A 16109-nucleotide genomic window follows, 5' to 3' on the forward strand; every position below is an offset into this window, starting at 1 on the left:
TTGGGTAAGTCTGAGTGTGAGCTGGGCAGATTGATTACCACAGCTCATTACATATTCGATCACCATGACCTTTCATTTTTACTTACCACCAACAGAAGACACATTTATTAGCACACGCCAAGCTCGGGGTGGTTTCCATGCAGCGATGGCTCTCATTCCATAGAATGTGTGTTTGTAACAAGCTCCTCTCCCTCGGAGCATCGACTATGACAAGTAAACAAATCACAATTTGAATAAAATCGTCAAAGCACAGAAACAAACCACCAAGGCATCATTTTTAAGAGAAACCATGTGTTTCGTAACCATGAATACTCCTACTAGTATCTGCATGACGCAGGAAATTCGCATCAGAGCATTTTAGTGTTTTGGCAGTGCTTTGGGTTTTTACTAAAGCCCAATGAAATAAACCTATGATTCATTAACTCTGAAAACTCTACAGGGAGAACCACTAATGCTTTCATTTTCAAATCCATCAGACTCCTTCAAATAATATTAGTACAATAGTATATAATGCTAGGAAACAGATAAAACAGACTCCTAAAAAATGGGGGCTGTCTGCCTATGCAAGCATATCCCTGCTCTGAGTAAAGAAGGATGGGTAAGGGAATGCATCCTGGAGTGTCGTTCTTTTGTTTGTTTTGTTTTGAGACAGGGTCTTGCTCTGTTCCTCAGGCTGCAGTGCAGTGGTGCAATCATAGCTCACTGCAACCTCCAACTCCTGGGTTCAAGCAATCCTCCTGCCTCAGACTCTCAAGTAGCTGGGACTATGGGTGTGAGCCACCATGCCTGGTTATTTTTTAATTTTTTGTAGAGATGAGGTCTCACTATGTTGCCCAGGCTGGTCTTGAACTCCTGGTCTCAAGCGATCCTCCCACCTCAGCCTCTCCAAATGCTAAGATTACAGTTGTGAGCAAACCACTGTGCCCAGCCCTGGAGCATACATATTTGAGACACTGTGGAAGCAAGCAGCAGGTATACAAGAAATACATTATTCCCATTTCCAAAAAGATCACTATTTGATGATGCAAGGGATAAAAACAAATATCACGAGTCATATAAGTTGGTACATGTAGTAAGTAGGTAATCTAAAGAAATATCTAGATCAACTAGGGATGGAATCAAGATAATATCAAGCTTTAAAAGGTAAAATCAGATCTGTCCAGAGCTCTGGGTAAGATGAGCTTGATTTCAGTACAAGTGAAAGCAGTGAAGCCTGGGAGGAGGTTATGTCAGACAGGTAATGATGACTTTCTCCTAAGGTCAGTGGAATGGGTAGGTTACTAAAGAAGTGAAATCAATGTCATTCCCCACTGAGGGGCAAAACAGAGGAAGTCATCCAAAATAACTGATTTTGAGGCCAAGTGACTGAAATAATATGGAATTAACAATACCAACAACGAACAAGCAGAAGGAAAGCAGAGACACGAATGAGTAGCCTTTACACGTGTATAGGGGTGTGTGTGTGTGTGTGTGTGTGTGTGTGTGTGTGTGTAGTCTCACTCTGTCACCTAGGCTGGAGTGCAGTAGTGTGATCTTGACTCACTGCACCCTCTGCCTCACAGTTCAAGTGATTCTCCTGCCTCAGTCTACCAAGTAGCTGGGATTATAGGCATATGGCACCACGTCCGGCTAGTATTTGTATTTTTTGTAGATACAGGGTTTTGCCATATTGGTCAGGCTGGTCTTGAACTCCTGACCTCAAGTGATCTGCCCGCCTCGACCTCCCAAGGTACTGTTATTAATATAAGCCTATCCACAGTGAAAGAACATTACATAAAAGTCTACTAGCTTATTTACTGTCAGTTGACCATGATGCCTTTTAACTATTTTTTGTTCTAATTTAAAAAAAAAAGTTTCCCTGTCCATCTTAGTACTGCATTTGAAAAAAAGGAGTGAAGGGAAAACCTGTGCCTACAAACCTCTTCCAAGTTCCTAATAAAATGTACAAGGCAGCAAACAAAACATTCAAATCTTGTAAATAGCACTGAAAACCGAAATGTCCAACAAATGCTAGTCACAGAGTAATTTCCACAAAATCTCATGCCACTAGAGAAACAAAGTTGAAGAAATGTACACTTCAATCACTATTGATTAAGAAGTTAATACGCTTTGTTCTGAACTGCCCTATGCTCCCCTGTCCCATTCAGGTTGAAGTCCTAAACCTCAATGCAATGCAATGGCATGTGGATATAGGCTCTTTAATGAGGTATTTAAGGTTAAGTGAGGTCAGGTGAGTGGGACCCGAATCTAACAGAACTACTGTCCTTATAAGAACAGGAAGAGAGACCAGAGATCTCTCTGCACGTGCACAGAGGACAGATCATGTAAGAACTAGAGCCCATAAGATGGAAGAGCAACCAAGGTAGCTTCGCGAAAGGACCAGTGAGAGCTTCCCAGAGGTGTGCGGTCCAAATCCAATACTGAAGGACTAAAAGGATTTTTCAAAAGGACTCTCTAAGACACAGGCAAAGAAGCATGTGAGAAGAGGATGGAATGTTTTTCGTTTTAAAAAATGATGTCTCCAAATGTTTAAGTCTGTGATCCATTTTGAATTAATTTTTATATAAGGTGTGAGGTTTAAGACACTCTTTTTTGTAATTTGTTGGGAGGAGCAGTATTTGGGTCTTTTATTTTTTTCTGTTGGTTTTGGCCTATGGATATCTAATTGCTCCACCAGCATTTGTTGAAAATTTCAACATGGAACTTGATATGGTTTGGCTGTGTCCCCACTCAAATCTCAACTTGAATTGTAGCTCCCAGAATTCCCACGTGTTGTGGGAGAGACCTGGGGAGGAACTGAATCACAGGTGCCGGTCTTTCCTGTACTATTCTTGTGATAGTGAATAAGTCTCAAAAGATCCGATGGGTTTATCAGGGGTTTCCACTTTTGCTTCTTCATTTTCTCTTGCCACCACCATGTAAAAAGTACCTTTTGCCTCCTGCCATGATTCTGAGGCCTCCCCAGCCATGTGAAACTGTAAGTCCAACTGAACCTCTTTTTCTTCCCAGTCTTGGGTATGTCTTTATCAGCAGCATGAAAACGGACTAATACAGAATTGCTTTTGCATTTTTGTAAAAAAAACAGTTAAACATATTTTGTGAGTCTATTTCTGGGATCTCTAGTCTCTCCCTTGATTTATGTCTATCTCTCTACCAGTAGTACCACACTGTCTTGAAAACTGTGACAGCACAGTAAGCTACAAGATCAGAGTGAACTATTCCTCCCAGTTCTTTCTTCTTTGTCAACATTGTTTAAGCTATTCTAGGGCCTGTGTCTTTCAAGTCTTGAGTAAGTTTGCCTATTTCTACAAAAGTCTTATTGGTATTTTTGTAAGAACTGCATTCAACCTACAGAATCAATTTGGGGAGAAATGACAGTTTATTATACTGAGTTTTCTAATCCATGAACATGCTATGTCTATTTGTTTAGATTTTCATTTATTTTTTTATCAGCATTTTTAAAATTTTCAGCATCCAGTCCTGTGTATGTTTTGTTAAATGTAAATCGAAGCATATTACTTTCGTTGGAGTGACTGTAAATGAAATTTTTAATTTTGGTTTTCACATGTTCATTGTTAATATGTAGAATACAGCCGGGCACAGTGGCTCACGCCTGTAATCCCAGCACTTTGGGAGGCCAAGGCGGGTGGATCACAAGGTCAGGAGATCGAGACCGTCCTGGCTAACATGGTGAAACCCCGTCTCTACTAAAAATACAAAAATTAGCCGGGCTTGGTGGCGGGCGCCTGTAGTCCCAGCTACTAGGGAGGCTCAGGCAGGAGAATGGCGGGAACCTGGAAGGCAGAGCTTGCAGTGAGCCGAGATGGCGCCACTGCACTCCAGCCTGGGTGACAGAGCGAGACTCCGCCTCAAAAAAAAAAATACAGAATACAATTGATTTTTGTGCTTTGCTATTGTATCCTGTGACCTTGCTGAACTCAGGTTCTAGGAAATTTATTTGTCATTTCCTTGAGATTTTCTACATAACAATCATGTCACCTGCAAAACAAGACAGCTTTATTTCTGCCTTTGCAACCTGTATGCATTTTCTTTTTCTTGACTAATTCCAGTGGCTAGAATTTACAATACTATGTAAAACAGGAGTGGTGAACGCAGACATACTTGTCTTGTTCCCAATCTAATGGGAAAAGCATTTACTCTCTCATATTAGGTATGATGTTAGCTGTAAGAATTTTGTAGAGGTTAATATTCCTCTATTTCTAACTTGCTAAGAGTTTTTAATGATGAAGGGTTAGACTCTGCCAAATGCTTTTTCAGAATCAATTGATATGACTGACTGATTTTTTTCTTCTTAGCATGTTTGATATGGTGGATTGCTTTGGTTTTTAAATGTTGAACCTGCCTTGCATACCTGGGAAAAATTCCACTTGGTTATGGCATATAATTCTTTCTATACTTGGCTGAATTCTATTTGCTCATATCTTGTTGAGGATTTCTACATCTAAATTCCTGAGAGATTAGTCTTTAGTCCTCTTTTAGTGCATTATCTTTGTCAGGTTTTATCAGGTTAATATTGGCCTCATAAAATGAGTTCAGAAATGTTCCCCACCTCTTGTATTTTGGGGAAGATATTAAGTAAAACTGGCATTAATTCTTCATTAAATATTTGGTAGAATTCTTCAGGAAAACCATTGAAAACTAAGATTTCACTTTGGGGAGGCTTTTAATTACAAAATCAGTTTCTTCAATGATTACAGGATTATTCCGATTATATATTTTGGTTGAGTTTTAATAAGTTATAGTTTTTGAGGAATAGATGTATTTCACCTAAGTTGCCAAATTTATCAACATAAAATTGTTTGCAGCACTCCCTTATCATCTTTTCAATGGCTGCAGGACCTGTAATAATATTGTTTCATTCCTGATATTGATGACTTGAGTTTTCTTTTTTTTGAGATGGTGTCTCGCTCTGTCACCCAGGCTGGAGTGCAGTGGCACGATCTCGGCTCACTGCAAGCTCTGCCTCTTGGGTTCACGCCATTCTCCTGCCTCAGCCTCCTGAGTAGCTGGGACTACAGGCACCCACCACCAAGCCCGGCTAATTTTTTGTATTTTTAGTAGAGACGGGGTTCACTGTATTAGCCAGGATGGTCTCTATCTCCCAACCTCGTGATCTGCCCACCCCGGCCTCCCAAAGTGCTGGGATTACAGGCGTGAGCCGCCGCACCCAGCCTCTTTCAAGTCTTAACTAAAGATTTATCAATTTTATTGATATTTTCAAAGAACTAGCTTTTTGTTTTATAGTGATTTTTTATTACACTATTTTCAGTTTCATTGATTTCTATTCTTCACTTCCTTCCATTTTCTTTTTTTTTTTTTACTTGGCTCTTCTTTTCTGTTTCTTGAGGTAGGAACTAGATTGCTGATTTGAGACCTTTCCTCATTTCTAATGTAAGAATTTAATGTTGTAAATTTTCTTCTGAGAACTGCTTGAGCTGCATCCTACAGATACGTTTAATTCTCATTTTCATTAATTCTATGTTGGTTTTTTTTGTTTTTTTTTTTTTTTTGAGACAAGGTCTCACTTTGTCACCCATCATAGCTCACTGTAGCCTCAAACTCCTGGACTCAAATGATCCTCCCTCACAGCCTCCCAAGTAGCTGGGACTACAAGACACGTGTCTGAACACCTGGTGGGGGGGTGGGTATGTGTATAATTTTTTTTTGAGATGGGGTCTTGCTATATTGCCCAGGCTGGTCTCAAACTCCTGACCTCAAGTAATTGGCCCACCTCAGCCTCCCAAAGTGCTGGGATTACAGGCGTGAGCCACTGCACCCAGCCCTGAATTCAGCTTGAAGAACTTTCTTTAGCCAATATTTAAGGGCATGTCTGCTAGCAACAAATTCTTTCCATTTTCCTTCATCTGATAATGCCATTATTCATCCTTCATCCTTAAACAATATTTTGCTGCATATGAAACTCAAAGTTCGTCGTTCTTTTCTTTCAACACTTGAAATCCTATTGTGCTACTCCCTTCTTGCTTCCATGGTTTCAGATGAGAAACGTGCTGTCATTCAAATTGGTGCTACCTTATAGGTAATAGATTGTTTCTCTCAAGGTGCTTTACATATTTTTTCCTTTTTCAGTTTTTAGATGATTAGTTATATAAAGTATTGGTATGGATTCTTTTGGTTTTATCCTGTTTGGGGTTCCCTCAAATTCATGAAGCTGTAGGTTGATGTCTTTCATCAAATTTGGGCTACTTTCAACCAATTATTTCTTCAAATACTCTTTCAGCACCACTCATGAAATTTCACTCTCCTTCTGCAACTCTGATGACATAAATATTGGATCTCTTACCACAAATTAAGCATCCCTTATCCAAAATGCTTGGGACCAGTAGTGTTTCAGATTTCAAATTTTTTCAGATATTCGAATATTTGCAATATACTTACTGGTTGTGCATCTTTAATCCAAAAATCCGACATCCAAAACATTCCAATGAGTATTTCCTTTGATCATCATGTCAGTGCTCAAAACATTTTTAATTTTGAAGCATTTCTGACTTCAGATGTTTAAATTAGGGATACTCAGCCTAAACTGCCACGCAATCTCTAAGGCTGTACTTAATGTTCTTTTCCAGTCTACTTTTGTCTATGTTGTTCAGATTGGGTAAATTCCCTTTTTTTTTTTTTTGAAACAGAGTCTAGCTCTGTCACCCAGGCTGAAGTGCGGTGGTATGATCTTGGCTCACTGCAACCTCCACCTCCTGGGTTCAAGCAATTCTCCTACCTCAGCCTCCCAAGTAGCTGGGATCACAGGTGTGCGTCAGCACACCCAGCTGATTTTTGTATTTTTAGTGGAGATGGGGTTTCACCATGTTGGCCAGGCTCGTCTTGAACTCCTGACCTCAGGTGATCCACCCGCCTCGGCCTCCTAAAGTGCTAGGACTACATGCGTGAGCCATCACACTCGGCACAGATTGGGTAAATTCTCTTGTTCTGTCCTGTTCACCAATCGTACTATTGATCTGTTAAGGTCACTGATTCTATCTTGTCATCTCCACTTGACTACTGAGCCAATCAATCAGAGATATCTTTATTTCTCTTACTGTACGTCTCAATTTTAAAATTCCCTCTTGTTTCTTTTATAACTTGTCTTTGCTGAGATTTCTTTTTCATTTGTTTCAAGACAATTTGTAACTGATGGCTGAAGCATTTTTATGACAGCTACTTTAAAATCCTTGTCAGTTAATTCCATCATTTGATTTATCTGGTGTTGCTGTCAGTTGATTATTCTTATTCAAGGTATGATTTTCTTGTTCCTTGGTATGGCAAGAGATGTTTTCTTGTGTCCTAGACATTCTGTCTATTATGTTGGAAATTCTAGACCCTGGTTCATTCATTCTTTTATTTCAGTACATTATTTCAATTTAGCATGCAGGTCCTGGCCTACTTCTATGTGCTATGGTTCCAATGGCAGTTTAATTTTCAGAACCTTTGCAGTGTAATTTTTCTTAGACTCCCACTGGTCCCTGCTGGAGCTATCTGAGGGGGAGGGAGGGGCTCCTCCAGACTGGCCCACTGGGAGTCTCTCAGTGGAGAAGGAGAATGTCAGGCCAGCTGACTTCCAAGGCCAGGCTGCTTTTGTGGCAGCTTGTCTGGCTTATGCCCTCTGGCAGCCCCAGTATCTCTGGGTAGAGAGGGAAGTCTCAGACCCACAAGGACAAAGAGGGTCCCCCAGCTGGGCCACTTGTGGTGGTGGGGCCCCTCTTGCTAGTGCCACCCAGCCAACATCATAACTCTTGGTGGGGAAGAGAGTCTCAGGCCCAGCAGGGATCGACAGCATTTCACAGGCCAGGCCACTTGAGGGGGCTGCAGGCTGGGGAGAAGGATCGTGTCTCTCTAATTAATATACAGTGACAGAAAGCAAATCAGTGGTTTCCAGGAAGGAAAGAGAAAATTTGGATTATAAACTAAGAACAAGGAAATTTTTGTATTTTGGAAATACAAAACATTCTGTATTAAGGAAATATTATCTTAACTATGGTGATAGTTTCACAGGCATATACATGTATAAAAACTTATCAGGCAGAGCAGGGTGGCTCAAGCCTGTAATCCCAACACTTTGGGAGCCCGAGGCAGGTGGATCACTTGAGGTGAAGAGTTCGAGACCACTCTGGCCAACATGGTGAAACCCTGTCTCTAATAAAAATAAAAAAATTAGCCGGGCATGGTGGCAGGAGCGTGTAATCCCAGCTACTCGGGAGGCTGAGGCAGGAGAATCTCTTGAACCTAGGAGACAAAGGTAGCAGTGAGCCAAGATTGCACCACCGCACTCCAGCCTGGGCGACAGAATGAGACTCCGTCTCAAAAACAAACAAACAAACAAACAAACAAAAAAACCTCATCAACTTGTACACTTTAAATATGTTCAATTTCTCATATGTCAATTATACAGCAATAAAACTGAAAACATTTTAAAATTTAAAAATAAGACACAGGAATCCGCTGAAAAATGTCCCACCAGCCAAAGTGTGAAAATTTGATGATCAAAACAGAAAATAACTGTAATGGATGGAGTTGATGAAAATGCATCATTACATTCAAAAACAAGGGGAAAAAGTCACCATTTGAAGCTTCAAGTAAAACAACTCCTACTTTGAAAATTGGTAATTTAAGAGAAAACAAATCAGGCATTTATCATGCCATATCAATATGAACTGTATTTCAGAGTAACTAAATATTCTTGGTTGATTAAAAAAAAAAAGAAAGAAGAGCTCGCCTTTACAGAATAATGCTAGCTAGTAAATGCAGAATAAATGACAGAATTAAAAATATGATTTTACAAACTCTAATTAGATATTATTTCAGGGAAGTATTAGTATTATCAACTGGTGGGATTTTTTTTTAAGACAAACATTCGCTTAATGGTTGACAGAAAACTAGATGTTATAATAATTCCATAATAAAGTTCTAAAGACATAGAAGAAAGCATAACTGAACAAAGGAAGCAGTAGAGTATCATTACCATGTTTCAACTGTCAATATTAGCATCGCAAATGGTGGGCTGACCAGCAAAAAGACTATGACTCGCTGAAGGCTCAGATGATCATTAGCAATTTTTTTTTTTTTTTTTTGAGACAGAATCTTGCTCTGTTGCCCAGCCTGGAGTGCAGTGGCACAATCTTGGCTCACTGCAACCTCTGCCACCCGGGTTCAAGTGATTCTCCTGCTTCAGCCTCCAGAGTAGCTGGGATTACAGGTGTGTGCCACCACGCCTGGCTAATTTTTGTATTTTTAGTAGAGACGGGGTTTCAGCACCTTGGCCAGGCTGGTCTTGAACTCCTGATCTCGTGATCCACCCATCTCAGCCTCCCAAAGTGCTGAGATTACAGGCGTGAGCCACTGCGTCCGGCCCAATCATTAGCAATTTTAGAAATAAAGTATATTTTAATTAATTATGTTTTTTAAATTACTTTTTTTTTAGACATAATGCTATTGCATACTTAACAGACTATGGTATAGTGCAAACATGACTTTTATAGGCAATGGGAAACCAAAACATTTGTGTGGCTCACTTTACTGTGATATTTGCTTCGTTGCAGTGGTCTGGAACGAAACCTGAAATATCTCCAAGGTACGCCTGTCATTTGTTGGCATGCTAGCCCTACTTCAACAAGGGTTATTTCCCTCTCTTATCACATATAAACAAGCCTGTCTTGATATTCTTGTAAAAAAATAATAACAATAACCGCTAGTCCCTCTACTTCTGTTGTTTGTTTTTTGTTTTGGTTTTGAGATGGAGTCTCGCTCTGTTGCCCAGGCTGGAGTGTGGTGGCACGATCTCGGCTCACTGCAACCTCCACCTCCCGGGTTCAAGCAATTCTTCTGCCTCAGCCTCCTGAGTGGCTGGGACTACAGGTGCCCGCTGCCACCACGTCTGGCTAATTCTTCTATTTTTAATAGAGACGGGGTTTTACCATATTGGCCAGGCTGGTCTCGAACTCCTGACTTCGGGATCTGCCCACCTCGGCCTCCCACAGTGCTGGGATTACAGGCACGAGCCACTGCACTAGGCCTGTTTTTTTTGTTTGAGACAGAATCTTGCTCTGTCGCCCAGGCTGGAATGCAGTGATGCAATCTTAGCTCACTGCTACCTCTGTCTCCCAGGTTCAAGCAATTCTCATGCCTCAGCCCCAACAAGTAGCCAAGACTACAAGCACATGCCACCATGTCTGGCTAATTTTTATGTTTTTTGAAGAGATGGGGTTTCATCATGTTTGCCAGGCTGGTCTCCAACTCCTGACCTCATGTAATCCACTTGCCTCGGCCTCCCCAAGTGCTGGGACTACAGGTGTGAGCCACTGCAGCCAGCCACTTTACCTCTGTTAAAGCTAAACTTACCCATTATAAGATGGTGCAAATAGCTAACTGCTTCCTGACACCTTCTAATGTAGTAATGCCAGACTATGTTTGTACAGAAATACATAATATTTAATATAAAGGACTTCCCTTTTTCTCTCATTATCTTATAGTTTGGGCAAAACACAAATTTTGTAAAATTATGTATGTGATATTATATTATCCGTAAATTTACTTTAACAATAGTATAGAGTATGGTATAAACAAAAGGCACTGAGTCTGATATTACTGAAAATCACTATATTGGAAAGAAGAAACTTGGGATATGCAAAGTATTAAAAATAAATAAAATAAAGTGACAGGGTTTAGCACACTGCTATCAAGAGTAGATGGAATAACAGAAGTGTCATCTGGCGGGGCACAGTGGCTCACACCTGTAATCTCAGCATTTAGAGAGGCCAAGGCAGGTGGATCACTTGAGTGCAGGAGTTCAAGACCAGCCTGAGCAACATAAGGAGACCCTGTCTCTACAGAAAAATTTAAAAATTAGCCAAACATCGTGGTGCGCACCTATAGTCCCAGCTACTCAGGAGGCTGAGTTGGGAGGATCACTTGAGCCAGGGAAGTCAAGGCTGCAGTGAGCCATGACTGCATTACTGCACTCCAGCCTGGCCGGGCGTGATGGCTCATGCCTGTAATCCCAGCACTTTGGGAGGCAAAGGTGGGCAGATCATGAGAGTCCAGGAGTTCAAGACCAGCCTGGGAGACATGGTGAAACCCCATCTCTATAAAAAATACAAATGTTAGCCAGGCGTGGTGGTGCATGCCTATAATCGCAGCTACTCCAGGTGGATCACTTAAGCCTGGGAGGCTGAGGCTGCAGTGAGCCGAGATCGTGCCACTGCACTCCGGCCTGGGCGACAGAGTGAGCCTGTCTCAAACTGAAAAAGAAGGGAAGCGTCATCTGTCAGAATATTCCTGCCCCATAGGATAAAGCCAGAGGAAAAGGAGTGAAAAACAGGAAGAAGAGTTTCTCAAATATCCACAAATAATAGCAACAGGCCTGTGGAGCAGATTGTACTAAAAAGATTCAACAGAGAAATCTGGAGAATGTTATTTTGACAATGGCAGAGGCCAAGAATCGGGTTCTTTATTAGGAAGGACCACCAAGGTAAATGAAGTATCAAGCAAAGATCAGGTGTGGATTGTGAAAACGGGCAGGGGCAGTCCAAGAGAAAAATAAAGACAAAGGGATGTTTCCTGCAAAGCCCAAGAGGGCACAATGGAAAAGGCTGGCACAGGGAGAGACAGGGCTCACACTAGAAGGAGCATGTAGAAATGGAGAGTGAAACATAGTCAGCAGAAGGGAACATAAGTATGAACCCAGGATAGAAATGTTTAAGAACAGTAATAAAGAATGTAAAAAGTCAAGCATGGTTGGAGAAGTTGGTTTAATTAGAACTGCCAGTTTATTATTTTTTTATTTTATTTTATTTTATTTTATTTTATTTTATTTTATTTTATTTTTTGAGAAGGAGCCTGGCTCTGTCGCCCAGTCTGGAATGCGGTGGCATGATCTCAGCTCACTGCAACCTCCGCCTCCCGGGTTCAAGCGATTCTCCCGCCTCAGCCTCCCAAGTAGCTGGGATTACAGGCATGCGCCACCATGCCCAGTTAATTTTTTTTTTTTTAGTAGAGACGGGATTTCACCACATTGGTGAGGCTGGTCTCGAACTCCTGACCTCAGGTGATCTGCCTGCCTCGGCCTCCCAAAGTGCTGGAATTACAGGTGTGAGCCACGACACCCGGCCTAGTACCGTCAGATTTGAGCTAACCAATATCAGTAAAGAGACTGAGTTTTGTATGGGGAATCTTGCTAGGGCAGAACAGGCTGAGAAAAGGTCTGGCAGACAGGACTGGAGGTGCTTCGTCACCAGGAACTGAGTTACTGGTAGCCTGCGGTCGCTCAGCTCCTGGAGATACAGCCACAAACAGTGACAAGAGATGCAAATCAGGTACCTGATAAAGAGCCCTTAGCCAGAATATATAAAGAACTTTTACAATCCAACAACAGACACATAATCCAATGTAAAAATGGGCCAAGGATTTGAAGAGACGTTTCTCTAAGGAAGATATACAAACATCCAATTTGCAAGTGAAAAGATGCTCAACATCACTGGTTGTTAGGAAGATGCAAACCTCTAAGAGATACCACCTGATACGCCCTAGGATGGCAATAATCAAAAAAATGAACAATAACAAATGCTGACAAGGCGGAGGAGAAATCGGAACCCTCATACACACAGGTAGGAAATGAATAAAAACGTATCTCCATGCGAAAATATGTACATATAACAATGTCGGCCAGGCATGGTGGCTCATGCCTGTAATCCTAGCACTTTGGGAGGTTCAGGTGGGCAGATCGCCTGAGGTCAGGAGTTCGAGACCAGCCTGACCAACATGGTGAAACCCTGTCTCTACTAAAAATACAAAAATTAGCCAGGCGTGGTAGCGCGCGCCTGTAATCCCAGCTACTCAGGAGGCTGAGGCAGGAGAATCGCTTGAACCTGGGAGGCGGAGGTTGCAGTGAGCCAAGATCGCACCACTGCACTACAGCCTGGGTGACAGAGCGAGACTCCGTCTATGGAAAAAAAAAAAAAAAACCAGAAATGCAAAGAATTAAGAAGAGTGGAAGTAATCTTGGCTATAAAAAAAAACAATGGAGAACTTATACTACATAATTTCAGACTGACTACAAAAGCTCACATAATCAAGACAATGTGGTATTGGCACAGGATAGACAAATACATCAGTGGCACAGAATTTGGAGAGACCAGAAATAGGCCTGCCCATATGATGGACTGACTGTCTACAATGGCCTAGAAAGCAATTCGATGGAGAAAGGAAAGTATGAAGTTATCAGAATCAATATGGAGTTACTGATGTTAAGAAAGCCCTGACAAACAGAGCTGGGGAAGGGCATGAAGAGAGGGCTATCATGCTTGTATGCCTGATAACAAAAAAAGATTCTACAAAAGCCACAACCTTGAACAAAGGCCATCACAACCTTACACAGAAATACTTCTGTAAGGACATCAGCCCAGCAACTGCCTGTCCAACCTTCAACAGCATCACCCTTGTTATTGATCTTTGTAGCTAAGAATAATGACTTCAAAACAATTCTGTAACACTCCTCATTTTTTCCTTTATAGCTGGGTGTAGGCCGGGCGTGGTGGCTCATGCCAGCACTTTGGGCAGCCGAGGTGGGCAGATCAGTTGAGGTCAGGAGTTCAAGACCAGCCTGGCCAACGTGGCGAAACCACATCTCTACTAAAAATACAAAAAAATTAGCCAGTCGTGGTGGCGTGCGCCTGTAATCCCAGTTACTAGGGAGGCCGAGGCAGGAGAATCCCTTAAACCCGGGAGGCAGAGGTTGCAGTGAGCCGAGATTGTGCCACTGTACTCCAGCCTGGGTGACAAAGGAAGACTCTCTAACAACAACAACAAAAAAGCTGGGTGTAGTAGGTACAATAGTTCCAGCTATTTGAGGGGACAAGGCAGGAGGATCACTTGAACTCAGGAGTTCAAGTGCAGCATAACAAGACCTGTCTCTTAAAAAACAAACAAACAAACAAAACCCATTGTCTTCCTGAAAGTGGACCTAATTTATTATGTTCCCATTGCTATGTTCTATTCCTAAATAAACATTTTTTTCTCTTAGAAAAAACATTTTTTTCTCTTAGAAAAAAATTTTTCTCTCTCTGTTTGTTATCTGGTTCACATAATTGGTGTCAGAAATGGGACCTGAAAGAGAGCACTAAGAATTGCTGATTCTTGGCACCACTGCAGTACTCACTTGAGCCCTTGAGCTCTCCACCACCATGATTCGCCTTTTCTGCCCTGGTATGTCTTCTCTCAGTCTGAGCCTCCTTCCTTTTAGTAGAGGCTTTTTTACTTTATTTGGAATGTGGTTTGGATAAGGCCACCTTAATAATGAATCACACATCCCTCTTGGGATGATAGACTTTTTACCTTTTCTGGAAAGTATTTTCTAGTATAAAGAAAAGTGTCTTTCTGGATTAAGTACTCTTGGTTTCTACAAAATCGACATTCTGTCTGGGAGGCATGACTTCTCTGGTTTGTGTGCCTCATTTAATATCTCATTTGATCTGCATGCCTAGGTTAAAATGTTTTTGAACACTCTTATCTTGGGTTATTTTCATTTGGTTTGACTCTTTTCCCATGCTTCTTTCGGAAAACTTTCTGAGACCAAAATAAATGTTCTGGATAATGGGCACAGAATGGCTAATTAAAAGCCACTAGGTGGCCAGGTGCGGTAGCTTATGCCTGTAATCCCAGCACCGTGCGAGGCCGAGGCAGGCAGATGACTTGAGCTCAGGAGTTCGAGACCAGCCTGAGCAACATGGCGAAACCTCGTATCTACCAAAAAATACAAACAATTAGCCAGGCGTGGTGGCACGCACACCTGTAGTCCCAACTACTCGGGAGGCTCAGGTGTGAAGATCGCTTGAGCCCGGGAGGTGGAGGCTGCAGTGAGGTGAGATTGCACCACCGTAATCCAGCCTGGGTGACAGAATGAGACTCCATCTCAAAATTTTAAAAAAGCTACTAGGGTGGTTGCCACCATCTGAAACAACAGTCTGAATTCCTCATGGAATTTACAGAATTTTCTTTGCTCTCGAGAGATTAATAAGAAATGGAATAAGATTCTCAAACATTTAGGCATGCCAGGTTTCCCAGGACTATAGAAGGCTATATATTATGGCCCATTCTTCTGCACATTTTTCAATTGATGGGCAAATTACAAGGAAAATTCAGAGCACTAAGGATCATTATTCAAAAAGACCTGCAACTATGGAGTTAACATGTTGAGTCTTCTAACTCACTATCTCTCTATTTGTTTTTCTGCCTATTTTAAATCTGCTGACTTTTCTATTGGTGTTGAGATGAAACTCACTGCTTATGGCATTCCAGCCAAGATATTCTTAAAAAGAGAGAGAGAAGTCTTTTAAAGGGCTTTCAAATTAATGCCTTTACGAATTACAACAGCTCCATGGTAACCAACAACTTTGACACCTTTTAGAAATATAAATTTAGGTTTGCCTAACTAGCAACTGTGTATGGTGATGAAACACTTAATTGAAAAATTAATCTCTAAAAGAAAAAGAACTAGATAGATGTTTATAATGCTAGACACTCAAGTCAAACAGGTCAAAATCTTGAGCTCAGAGCAATAATAAAAAGTATGTCTGTCCAGCATATACACACAAAAAAAATCTTGCTTTTTCCGGCACACAGAGGCAAAAAGAAAAAGCCAAAACAAAAAAACCCTGCTAAAGTTCTTCCCTGCCTATATTTGCTAATTAAGCAAACCAGACAGGCAAACAAAAGATAGATCTGTTACTAATCCAAGGCTACCTGGAGATTTTATTTTACTTATACAATTCAACCAGTCCTAGCTATTATGTAAATGTTGAAAATTTAAGCCTAAATTCATCTGAAACTACAAAAAAGTGGCAGGGGTTGGGGGATGGTATAAAAGATGTTTTAAAAATCAAAGTGCATGAAAACTGCTGTACCCAAAATTTTGGCCCATGGCCTTCATTAGATTAGCTATTGAGGCAAATAAAGTTTAGCCATATGAACAGGTTCCAGTTTTGCCAGAAATATAATTTGGATCCAACCGTCTTATAAACCAGTGAGTTTGTATTATAATCTCATGATGAAAATTCAAAAATGAAAACTATAAGATCTTTATTTGT

At 41.2% G+C, this 16109-nt stretch overlaps 1 protein-coding gene across 3 annotated transcripts in view; it reads right to left on the reverse strand.

The window, feature by feature from the left end:
• TYW1B (tRNA-yW synthesizing protein 1 homolog B) overlaps positions 1–16109 on the reverse strand; it is a 253688-nt gene that overhangs the window by 169885 nt on the left and 67694 nt on the right. Inside the window, exon 8 of one of the 3 annotated variants that reach the window (NM_001145440.3) lies at positions 87–204. The exons of the other annotated variants lie outside the window; for them this stretch is intronic. Within the exon in view, the coding sequence (NP_001138912.2) occupies positions 87–204 (118 nt within the window). The remainder of the gene's footprint in view (positions 1–86; positions 205–16109) is intronic. 3 annotated transcript variants of the gene reach the window in all.

This window comes from Homo sapiens, chromosome 7 (assembly GCF_000001405.40).
Source record: "Homo sapiens chromosome 7, GRCh38.p14 Primary Assembly".
NCBI classification, from domain to species: domain Eukaryota; kingdom Metazoa; phylum Chordata; class Mammalia; order Primates; family Hominidae; genus Homo; species Homo sapiens.